Raw genomic sequence first — 12,938 nt, forward strand, 5'->3', positions numbered from 1 at the left:
GCACTACTGGAGGGGCCATCTCAGCCTTCCTTAGCATTATATCCTAGCTCCTGGCACAGTGCCTGGTATACGTAAAGTGCTCAGCAAATCATTAACAACTAGGAAATTGTAGTACGAGTGCAAGCAAAATTCTGTTTTTAGTTCGAGGGCCATTGTTTATTACCAGTGTGATTTTGTGCAAATTACCCCCATCTGAACTTCCAGAGGCCTGATTGTAACTTTCAGGTAACAATCCCAGCAATAATAGGAAAGCATGTTGGAGTTCTTAAAGCACTTTCACAAAAATTCCATTTGGTCCCAGGACGACCCTGCAGGCTGCCCTTGACTAAACACTAAACGACAAGGCCTTCAATCAGAGTTAGGTGGCGACTGACTAACCAAGGGCGTGACAGAGCTTTAAGAACTGCAAAGTGCTCTATGTGAGTGAAGACTGGTGCTGCTTGCTCAGTCATCAGCCTTCAGCAACGTTTCCAAGTTTTCGCATTTGTTTAAGGGAGCTGAGCCTAAATTGCAAAAGAAGGAGAGGGTGAAGAGCAGGGCTTGCCAAACACATTTAACTCATCACCAGCACACAGAGAGAGAGAGGGATGGCTGGGTGGGCCACAGCCATCTCACTCCGGCCCCCACCCTGGCCCCTGCTCTGCCCAAGTGAGCAGGAAGACAAGAACCTGCCCTTCTTTAGTTGATGTTCACTTCTCCGAAATATTCGATTATGAGGTACTGCCGATCACATGGGCAGCTCCTGGAGAACCCAAGCACTTCCGTTATCTGGGAAGCCAGTGGCCTCTTACCAACACCCTCCTGGACCACCGCCCTCCCCCTGCCTCTCAGCCTTAGGTAATCTAAGGTAATTGTGAATACACAGATACTTCCTTAGGTTCTCAGGCTCTACATTTAATCTCTGCAGAGGATGTGACTCTATGTAGTTGTCAATGTTACTTCTGTGGATCAGAAGCTTACATGCTGGTTCTAAAAAACAATCTAATGTCATGTTATTCTTACAAAATTAACAATTGAAAATAATCCCTTCCATAACATCCCTGCAAGCAGAAATGGGAACAAAACTTCCTCAAATCACAAAATAATTTTGTGAACACCAGCTTGATAGCTGTGATTATCTGCCTGCTTCTTCAGGTAAAACTATGCCAGCAGTAAAACTGCTTTTTAAAATAAAAGTAGCCCTAAAGATGTGGTTTTTCAGGTGACTTGAATTTTCTAAGACATTATGAAGTTGATTTAAAAACAGAAGCAGGTGAACTTTGTGTTGAATTTTTAAATGTAAACTCATATCAAAAACCAAACAAAATAGAAATCTTAAGTAAATTGTCACCATTAGAGATTCTATTTTATTATAGCTATTCATTTTCAATGTATAAATAAAATCACAGAAAGTCCTAGATTATGTCTAATATTCAAATAATTTTCAAGCTATGCTAGCATAGAGCTAAAAAGGGGGACTATCTTCTATTTTTGTTTTATAAATCAAACAAAACAGGAAGTTCTCTTGTGTAGAGTTTTGCAGAAACAAAGTATAAGGCTGATCAAATTAGTTTATGATTTAAAATGAAAAAAGTTCTTTCTGGAGTAATAAATACTAATTACCTTCTGGACACTGGCAGGTGAATCCACTGAGACTGGAAATGCATGTTGCTCCATTTCTGCATGGGTCTAGGATGCAGTAATCAATCTTGGACTGGCAAAGCTCTCCAGTATAACCTGAATAAAACAAAATGTACATTTTATAAAATAAGCTCTTCCAGACCCACCATGAGCCACTCTAGGAATTGATGGATTCAACTGGTACCTGCCCAGTGAAGGCAGTGGCAGCCTTCAGCTAAGCTGCTCCTAGATCTCATTTATTTTTACAAACTATGGTAGTTTAGAAATAATCATAGTGGTTTAGAGTCATAGTTCAAAAATCGTTTACTCTGCAAAAATCTTTATTGCAAGAAGACCACATTTCTTCGGCATTAGGTCTGTGTTTCATCTTGAAATATCAGTCGGAACTTTCAGAAGCTGAGACTGAGGATCACGTTGGTAGCTTCCTTCTGACACAGGAATTTACAGTGTTCAGCTTGATCTAACTGAGATAATGGCCACATTCCCTAGGCCATCACAACACCTACATAAAAAGCATTAGGAAAATGTCTAGGTATGAGCAGTTTTAATTTATAATATTTTAGAGCTAGAATAACCCACCTGTGTTAATTCTGTGACCTCTCCTCCCACTTTAAAGATAAAGAGATTGAGGCAAACAGAATGCTAAGCACATTAATATATTTTTATTTATACCTACTTAATTCACAAATCCAACTAAATTATCTGTGAAGCAAGGCTCTCATGGTAATTTTGTTGGATTGTAACATAACTACGCACATGTGGTGAGGAAATAAGGATGTAAATCGATTGGAACACCTGTGCAGTCAAAAAGCTTTAAATACTTCCAGAATTTTGTTTATTAATTTTGAAAACAAAGCCCCTGGAGAGAAAAGTTTAAAAAATAAAATGCTAATAAATTTCTCATTATAAAGTGGAAAACGGTAAAGAAAGTTTGGAAAATTTAAGACATTACACAGAAAAAGAAAAAAATGTGCCCTTGGTTATGTTATTTGAGTGACAGGACCATCAATACTGTAGAGATAATTCCTATCAAAAATTGTGAGTCATAGATATTTTCCACACAATTATGATCATAGTGTAACACTTTATTTCTAGGACAGTTTTAACTACATAAAATCTTGTCTTTCTGAATTATTAGTTTTGAAAGACTGCCATTAGCACTTGAATCTGAGATTTACAAACCAAAAAGATCCAGTGATACTAGAAAAGAGATGATTCACCTGAGCTTCAATTACCTGCCAAATAGATTGTAAATTACAGATTGGGAATGTGGAGGCATTCATTTGCAATCCTACTCACAGGCATTCAAGCCGTGTAGGAGATTCTAGCTAATTCACGGTATGAGAAGAGGAGTAAGACAAGCGCATGAACTAAAAATCCAAACACCAGGAGAAAAGGCTATTTCAAAATTCTAGAACAGATTAAATAAAAGCTGTAAATTCAAAATAAGGGAGAGTGAATTGTTTTTAAGAGGAATGCTGCAAATAACTTTTTGGCTAAAAATAATAGCCAAAACTTACAAAAATCACTTATTTTTATTCATACATTAATTAATATTAATAATTTATCCACACATTAATACCTAATTCATCCATACTCACGTAACCTTATGAGGTTAGTGTTATTAGAATCACCCTATTTTTTTTTAACTTCAACTTTTATTTTAAGTTCCGGGGTACCTGTGCAGGATGCGCAGGTTTGTTACATAGGTAAACGTGTGCCATGGTGGTTTGCTGCACAGATCAACCCATCACCTAGGTATTAAGCCCAGCATTCCTTAGCTGTTCTTCCTGATGCTCTCCTTCCCCAAACCCCCACTCCCAACAGGCCCCAGTGTGTGTTGTTCTCCTCCATGTTTCCATGTATTCTCATCATTCAGCTCCCACTTCAAAGTGAGAACATGTGGTGTTTGGTTTTCTGTTCCTGTGTTAGTTTGCTGAGGATAATGGCTTCCAGCTCCATCCATGTCCCTGCAAAGGACATGATCGCATTCCTTTTTATGGCTGCGTAGTATTCCATGGAGAACCACCCCATTTAACAAATGAGGAAACCGAGGATTATGAAGGTTAAGTAATTTGCACACAGTCATACAGGGAGTCAGAGCCCTGTGTCCAAGCCCTTTCACACAGTCCGCCTAAGGTTACACTTAAGGCACTATGCATCACCATCGTCAACAAACAGGTATTTAGTATGAAGGGAAAATAACAGAAAATAATGGGTAAGAAAACACATAGAAAGAGACACAGAGCTTGATATAAAAACCATCAATATTCAGCTAGGTGCGGTAGCTCATGCCTGTAATCCCAGCACTTTGGGAGGTTGAAGCAGGCAGATTACTTGAGGCCAGGAGTTCAAGACCAGCCTGACCAGCATGGCAAAACCCTGTCTCTACTAAAAATACAAAAATTAGCCAAGTGTGGTGGCATACGCCTGAAATCCCAGCTACAGGGGAGGCTGAGGCACGAGAGTCATTTGAACCGAGGAGGTAGAGGTTACAGCGAGCCGAGATTGCGCCACTGCACTCCAGCCTGGACAATGGAGTGAGACTTTGTCTCAAAAAAAAAAAAAAAAAAACAAAAAACCATAAATATAAATATTCATCCATAACTTACAGCCTATGTGTGGTTGGTTATGCTTAGGCTGGAGGTGCCAAGAATTATTTTTTCAAATCCCTGACTTTAAAGATTCTACAATATGGCTAGAAAAGTATAGTACATTTATGAAAAAGATAACCGATTACAAGTGGTAGCTTCTTAGAGGCAGTGTGGCCTAAAGGATGTGGATGGCATCATGAATTCTGTCCCCGGAAAGATGTCAGAATTGCGACCACAGAATGACACAAAACCATGACCCACAGCCAGCAGCCAATTTGGTCTCAGAAGTGAGAGATGTACATCCCCACCAGACAGAAAAAATAGAAGAATGCAGGACTCTGTGAACTTCAAAGTTCTTTCAATAAAATTTTAACAATCACTTCCTTTTTACTTTTTATCCAAGGATTTAAAACATACTTAAACATAGAGAGATGAGGTTATAAACCTCATGTGTCCATCACCCAGCTCCAACCATTATTAGCATTTTGTCCGTTTAATTTCATCTAGTCTCTTCGTATTTTCCTAGGTTCCCCATGAGGGTATTTTGAATCAAATTTCATTTCACCTGTAAATATTTCAGTATGCATTTCTAGCAAAAGGGGAGTTTTTTAAAGATCACTTTTAATGGCCTCTTTAATTAATATTTCATTCCATTTACAAATTTAATTAAACACTTTAAAACATATTTATTTATATTTAATAATATCCACAATTTTCTTAAGAACCACAACTGTCTGATAATGCACAAATATTCCCATGCACTTAATTCTTACAGATCTAATAAATTATAAGTGAGGGTGAATCTTCAATGCTGTTAAGTGCCCCAATACCGTATGCAAGTTCGGTAAGATTTCAATCAGAGAGGCTAATTTACATTTTTAATTGTCATAACAGCTTCGGGACCTCACTGGCATTTTGTGGGTAAAGATACTGAGGTCTTGCAGGACTTGAGATGGCCTAATATATTAATAACAGAGTTGTCACACTGAAAATGCCAATAGTTCCCTCCAATGAGAAACAGTGGTCCATATTCAACACTTTGTCATTGCTTTATTTCCCTGAGCTTTAAAGTCTTTATAGTAAAGATTTTGAAAACACAGGAAACATGGAACTATGGAGAAAAAGATTATGTGTAATGCTCTAGACCCGTAAAGTATGAGCATATTGACATGTCTGTGGGTTCAGTATTACTGGAGATGAAGAACACTAATGGAGGAGCATGGACTGGGGTGTAGGAGGAAGCAGGGAGGCAGGGGTGAGATCACGGGATTATAGGACCACTGAGCATTCTCAGCTGCAAGTGGCCAGTGCTACTGGCAATAACCAGCTATGGATCTGCAAAGCCGATGAGGGTAGCCTGATGCTCTACCCACCCCAGTCTCCCTGGAAAGGGAGGGGCCCTTTGGCAGGACAGTTGCTTGGTGCGAGCGTTTCCCAAATTAGACGTATGGACCATGATGGCAGGAGCTCAAGACCTGACAATCATTCACACCAGACTCACCAAGAGGACCAGGTATTATTCTTGGCCTCCAGGGAGTTACTAGTTGGCAGTCCCAAGAGTACCATCATCAACTGTATTACTCCCATTACAGTTGCATTACTAGCCAAGTGAAGACAGTTCTGGAAGAGGAGAGGCAGAGGACAAGGAGCCAGGAGCATCCTGTGGCTGGCTTCAGAAACTCTCAAATACCAGCGAGTGACTCCTTAGACCCTCAGAGAGCAGAGGCTTCACTGAAGGTGTTGGGCAAATCACTGGTATTGATATACATGTAATACTCTGAACTGGATACCTAAGATCTACACAAATCTCACCCTTCCTGTGTCTTTTGGTTTTTTATTTGATCTCATAATCAAGGAGTCAAAACTAAATGAGTGACTGGTAGAAATTTAAATGAAAAATACCATTAAAGTCTTGGCCTGGGTTTTCTTTCTTCCATCCTGCTAAAAGTCAAACTCTTCTCTGGGGACTAAAGTAACCATACCAACTATGACTAATATTTCCTTTTGCCACTAAAGCAATGACAGACACCCAGAGGACCTCGTAGAAGATATACAAGCAAGACTGATGGTATCGATGCCACAGACACAAAAGGTAATACACGGTGGCCATTCTGTGTGTGTTATGGAAGAATTTGCTCTAGCATGCATACACAACAGGCATTTCAGCCCTGGAAACCTATGCCATAGCTCCCAAGTGGAAGGTGGGCAAGACATGGAGAAAAACCCATGTAAAGGCACACAAGAGTGCAGAAAATGTGTGAATGTCATTGACACTTGACTAAAAATGCAAGACAATGATAAACTCCCTTATTTTGATTTCCAAATGACGAAAGTCTATACCTAACCATGGAGGCAAGTATCAGCAATTGTCTTTCTTTCCTCTAGCTAGTGGTACTCCCTCTAAGCCCCCATGGGCAGACCACAAGCATTCGTGAACCACCTGCCAAGTTATTGTCACAACCACATAATACCTTTCACATTGTCTAGTCCCAAACCTCACTGCCTCTCACCAGGACTCCAGCAATGGTCGCCCAGCCCCTGTCTTCACTGCCACACTTGCTTTCTTTCAATCCATTCTCCACATACGAATAGCCAAAGAGATCCTTTTAAGATATAATTCATATCCTATTACTCCTTACTTAAAACCCTCCAATGGCTTCCCAAAAGGTTTGGAATAAAACCCAAACACTTTACCCAGGGGCTAAAAGATACCGCACGGTGTGGCCCCTGCACCCTCATCTTGGCCCAGTCCTGCCACCGACCACCGTGCTGCAGCCACCCAGGCCTCACTCTATTCCGAATCTCGCCAAGCTTCTGCTCATAGGCATCAGTATTGTTTTCATGCTGTGGCCTCAGGACCAGAAAGAATCATGAGAGGGATGCAGGATTCAACAGAAGCAGTTACAGTCCTGCCCTACAAAGAGAAGTGGGGCACAGATTTAAAATTGTCCTGAGATGGAGAAATTACTGAAGAAAGTTAGCAATAAACTTTTGGGAGTGGAAAGGAGAGGACCAGTGGAGTTATAGTGGAATTTCATTTGTAAAATCAGGAAATAAAGACAGGAGGGTTTAGAAATAAATTGCACAACAGAGTAGAAGACCTAAGAGAAGGGTATCAAAGCTTTAAAGTTATCTCTAGAACCAGGTAGGGAGACATGAAAATGTCTTAAGAGGGCTACAAAGAAAAGTGCAAAATCCAACTAAGGAGGGAAGGAAAATAGCTACAACCTTAGTGGGAGTTACCAATAAAATCAGAACAATTAAACAATAATGTCTCTGGGACTCAGGGGCTGTGGGTTTTGAAATCAAGCCCATTGATGAGTATGAGCTTGGAGTTTCCTGTTGGATGGCAATAATAGGGAGAGGTGGCCTATGTGTGCTCATCCCACTGATATGAGAAGAATCACCCTGGATGCCCAGGACTCCTGAGACAGCCAAAAACCTCCCTCCCAGAAACAACCTTAGTCCTCTGAGCGCCAACTGCAATTCATTTGGGTCAAGAACCACAGTTAGCTTAGGATAATGAAGCTCTTCCATTAGCGGTATGAGTCTTCCAATCACAAGAAGAGATAGAGCCAAGTATAGAGATGATGATATGAGGACGTAGATCAAGCCCATGGTTCTGCCACTTCGTGTCTGGTTTAAGCTAATCTGTGCCTATTGGTATGCAAAGAATGTGTGATGATTGAGAAAAAATGTGATGTGTGAGAGAATCTATCACACTTATGATTCCAATTAAAATGTTTAGCTGAGTAATTGGTTTTTGATTGATGAATTTAAGTTGAAAGATAAGATTAAGTCAGAACCCATTGGGATGTTGAACAGAGCTTGAGAATCATTATAGTGTTTAAGTTTACTTCTCACAAGGGAACGCATACAAAAGATAATTTCAAATAGTCTTCTCTGTGCCCAAAGGACATTCTGGGATGCCAAAAAACTCACCCCTGGACCCTGTGGTCACACTGCAGGGCTGTTTCCTCTGACTCTGCAGCCTTCTGTGCCCACCCTCTTTCATTAGTTAGCTCTAAGCTCAGAAGTCACTTGCTCAGACCTCAGGCTTTTTGCCCTTGTTTATTCTAAAACTTCGCTCTTATTTCTACTTGAAACACACACACATACTTGTTACCTCCCCACCCAGAAGGTGACCCATGGGAGTAGGGCTGCATCCCTGGAGGCCCCTGTTGTATCCCCAGGGCACCTGTGTGCTCATCACTGTATACTTCTCATTACCTACAATGATTTTCTTTATTGGTTTCCTTCCGAGAACATAAACTCCCTGAGAATCAGGACTTTCTCTGCCTTGTTTGGAGAGAAACCTCTGGACCCTCCAAACTTAAACATTTCCTGGCACAATTATTTGTTGAAGGAGCGAATCCACTTGCTTAAAGTTTTTGTCCCAAAATCAACCATATCTTTCAACTTAGGTTTAGCCTCTCCCTAAGCAATAATATCGAGAACGGCCTGGGTAAAATGTGCTAGCTGCTTGTTTTCCTAATGCACATTAAAATAAATGCAGAGCTACTGAAGTAAAAACATTGTTATCTCAAATATCTGCCATCAAAAATCACCTTGCTGCCATCATGGTCTGTACATCTAACTTGGGAAACACTGCAATGAGCAACTGTCCTGCTAAAGGGCCCCTTCCTTTCTAGGCAGACTGAGATCAGTAGAGCATCATGCTACCCCTCTTCTGAACTTCGATCTTGTTTCTCCAGCTAGCATTCAGCACCTCCAACAGGTCTCTGCAATACGGCAAATCAACAAGGCTGAAGCAGAACTCTTCATTTTGTTGTTGTTGTTCAGGAGCCCATATCCAGACTTAATTCCTTAGGTCGGTGGTTCTTGACTGGGGTGATTCTTCCCCCAGGTGTCATTGGTGATGTCAGGAGACTTTATGTATTGTTATACCTCTGAAGGTGTGACTGGCATCTAGTAGGTAGAGCCAGGGCTGCTGCTGAACACTCTCCAATACACAAGACAGTCTCCTACAACAAAGAATTATCCAAGGCAAAATGTCCTGAACACCAAGGTTGAGAAGCCCTGGTTTAGGTCAATGGAACCTTAGTCCTTCAGACTATAAACCTTTGTTTTGGTTTCAGAGCCTCTTATCTTCCCTTAAACAGAAACTGCTCCTTTACAAAGCAGAGAAACAGCACCTTCAGAACATTTTTTAAAAATCAGCATTCTCAGGAATATTTATAATCCCTAGCAAATTCAAAGCCGTTGTAAAATACATTGACCCAAAACCCTAAGAACCTGAGGAATTTATAATTGGGATATTCTATGAATAAGTAAAATAATTCATTCAAAAACAGATGACTATTGAAAATACTGACCTCTCCTTTCAGGGAATTGCAGAGATTTTATTGTTTCTTTGAAGAACACTGCAGTACAACAAAGATAGAAGAAAAGTTGTGACTCAGGGTACATGGTAAGGATGCCCTTTGAGGACATATGGCACAGCCGGGAAAGCCCTCAACTCAGGCTTCGTGCTTTTAAAGGGTCTGACCGTGAGCAATGATGTTAGGTGAAATACAGTCCCTGACATAGGAAGCAAAGCCTGGCAGTGAGTAAATTCTTAAAAAGGCAAAAGGCAGAAAGTGACCAGACACTTGAAGGAAATGCATCCATTTCATCAGTGGGTGTTCACAGATTACATTTGGTCTAATATAGGCTTGGAGTGTTTGATTTTATACTATTTTGTATTTAAGTATAAAATATAATTTAAAATGTATTCATATCTAGAGAGAGAAGAGTGGCTAAGTTTGCCTGTGAATCTCAGAACAGCATACCATCTGAGTGATATCTTTTGATTTCCAACATAACAAAAAATCCCCCCACCAACCCATATATCATTATCGACACCACCATTTCCCTTCAAATGAAGAAAACCTTCCAGAGGTCAATGGTAAATTACATGAGGTGTAAGCGAAGTTAGCTAAATGAGTCAGATTATGAAGAAGAAGGGCGATCAATCAGTTGTGGGCATTTTTAAAAAAACATTCTCCTTCCCTGCACAGTTGTTTTTGTGTATGATGTTTACTTCATGATTTCTCTACTGAAATAATAAAAAAAAAAATTCTCCTGTGTTGCTTTGGCTCTCTAAGGCAGAGTCTAATTGTTTCTTTGGAGAGCTGTTCTGAAGGCTCCCATGGTGGCAATTGCGACGAGAGCTATTTTTAACGCTCCTGGTCTTTTAATAGTCTGGCCTGTGCAGTGAGGTGAGGCTGCTGAATTTGGGCTGAATGCTGATGCTACCAAGAGAACCCACCAGTCTCAGCTCTCACCCTGGGGGGATCTGAGCAGCTGGTATCAGGGCCTCAGCCGTGTCTGCTAAGATGCAGTGCCTAATATTAGCACTCTGAGGCAAGAAGTAAACCGGGGGAATAAATAGTGCACCATCAAGACGTTCAGTCTCAGAGGCATCCTATTTTAAAGTCGGAAGGCAGACATTATTGCACAGAAAAAAACTAGTAAGATTCGCTGGCAGGAGAAACACAAACACATCTGGACAAACACAAACAGGATTTAAAAACCAAAGGCAAAGAAAGGAAGATACATGAAGCCCATCTATGAAAGACAATAAGTAAAATATAATTAAATTGGAATATGCAAAAAAAAAAGCTTGACAGAAAGCTGACATTCAGCAGAATTAGAAAAATTAATCTCAACATTGGGGAAAAAAGTAACCACATCTAACAAGTAAATAGACAAGAGGCACAGTGGGAAGGACAGTGGCTTGGGGAGTGGAAGGTCTGGGATGGTGATACAACAATCAGCTGAGAGAGCTCATTAAGAGGTTGACTTTTACCTTCATTTCCCTCATGGAGGAATTAAAGATTATGATTATAATGACTTCAAGCAGCAGGTACCATTTCTATGGAGTGTACCCTTTAATCCACAAGAGCTTGCACCATGCTTGGCATGTCCTAGGTGGCTCAATATTTTTTGAGTGAAATTTATGGATTTTAAAACTGCAAAGCAATATGCCAATATTTTTGGATCTCTCAGTTTTTATACAGGCAATTTAGAGCAGTGGTTCTCAAAATGTGTTTCCCAGATCAGCAGCATCAGCCCTGCCTGGGAACTCGTTACAAATGCAAATTGACCATCATTGTCACAGACTTACTGAAGGAGAAACTCTGGGGGTGGGGCCTGGCAACTGAGGTTTAAGAAGTCCTACAGGTGATACTAATACAAGGTACATGCTAGAGTTTGAAAACCACCATCTGGAAAATTAGAAGCAAGCAATCTTTTAACATCAAATATTAATATTATTCATTTCCGAATTACACATATAACGCAAATTACAGAGGACAAAAATCAGAGGCCAATGGGTGAAAGTCAAATATTATATGACATCAAAAAGCCTTTAGTGATTGCACTGTTGACATGGTTTTCTTCTTTTTCTGAGTGGGAGGTCTTGGGCTCAATTATTGCAACTGTCATTGCATTCTTCACACATCTACTTCCCTATTCTTTAAGGGCAGGTATTGATTACTTTTATGCCAGCCTCTAGCACAGAGCCAGGGACACTATAAATACTCATTATATAGTAAACTAATAACTGCATAAGCACCATGCATCACTCTCTCTAATATAATTCCTTTTATTCAATTTCTCTAGCTCTCAAATAATAAAGTGCAATATTGATACAGTCCATCTATATCTTTTAATCTGATGATTCCGAAGAGGAAGATAATTCAATACTTAGAATTCAATACCTCAAAGGGGAAGATATTTCATTAAGTATGTCCTGATGACTACTCCTGAGAAGTTGAAATCAAAAGAAAGAAAACATTAGATTAATTAAGGTGTTACACCATGAGACAGACAAGTTAGGGGATTGACTTAAACTACATAAAAATTTATATAACTATATTTATTAGTTGAGTTTTAAGTTTTTGTAGTAAATCAAACTCTAAAGAAGGTATTCATTCACTCTTCAGAAAGAATTTTTTGTGAGTGAAAATTCACATTTGGGGAATCTAAAAGAAGTTCAGGAACAGTTCTTACCTTCAGGGAGCTTAGGCTCCAGATGAGGAGGTAAGACACATTCCCATGAAACAGCATACTGAGTAAATGAGCAGGAGAATGGTCCCAAGGCAGGCACATGTGCATGGCAGTGCCCAGGCTAGCCTCACTGATGTGCCGGGGAAACAAGGCTAGGCTAGGGCCCCCAATCCACAAACCAAAGAGTTGGGGTCACTGACATGGCATCTTCAAAGGTTTCTGCACAGAGTAGAGGCATGGTAACGATGTGTTGTATATTGATCTCTTCCTGTAACCACTCACCGCCATTTCAGGGGAGCACTTAAGGTCTCTCCTCCCTTCTCCCTGGGAGCAAGTGTTCTGGTCTGGACGAAATGAGAGAACTCCAAGAGGGATGTCGAAACTGGGTGTGGGATGGGGAGTGGGCAATGCCCTTGCAGAAGAAATCAGAAGAATGAAAGCTCCAATCTTTCTCATCTTTCATCCTCTTACTAGTGTTTAGAGGCTACAAAGAAGTGCCCTTGATGGCTTACCGATTCTGTGCCAGTGTGTGTGGATGTGGATGTGGGGATAGATGTTTGTGTATGCATGTCTGCGTGCATGTGTGCACTCTGTGTATATTACATTTGTATATGTGTGTACATGTTTTGTGTTTGTGTATGTGTTATGTGCATGTGTGTATACATGTGTGTGCATGTGTTGCATATGCATGTATATGAGTGCACATGTGTG

The 12,938-nt window shown here is 40.4% G+C and overlaps 1 protein-coding gene across 1 annotated transcript in view, besides 1 other annotated feature; it reads right to left on the bottom strand.

Moving 5' to 3' along the window:
- Window positions 1-12,938, bottom strand: part of DNER (delta/notch like EGF repeat containing) — a 356,927-nt gene that overhangs the window by 117,909 nt on the left and 226,080 nt on the right. The window contains exon 7 of the mRNA NM_139072.4: window positions 1,603-1,716. Coding sequence (NP_620711.3) covers window positions 1,603-1,716 — 114 coding nt within the window. The remainder of the gene's footprint in view (window positions 1-1,602; window positions 1,717-12,938) is intronic.
- Window positions 10,913-11,414: an enhancer, noted in NCBI's record as "NANOG hESC enhancer chr2:230351166-230351667 (GRCh37/hg19 assembly coordinates)". NCBI's record gives its function as "activates a minimal SCP1, AML or CMV promoter by ChIP-STARR-seq in naive H9 embryonic stem cells {active_cell/tissue: H9 hESC(naive)}" and the evidence as "EXISTENCE:reporter gene assay evidence [ECO:0000049][PMID:30033119]".

Source organism: Homo sapiens, chromosome 2 (genome assembly GCF_000001405.40).
Source record: "Homo sapiens chromosome 2, GRCh38.p14 Primary Assembly".
Lineage (NCBI taxonomy): Eukaryota > Metazoa > Chordata > Mammalia > Primates > Hominidae > Homo > Homo sapiens.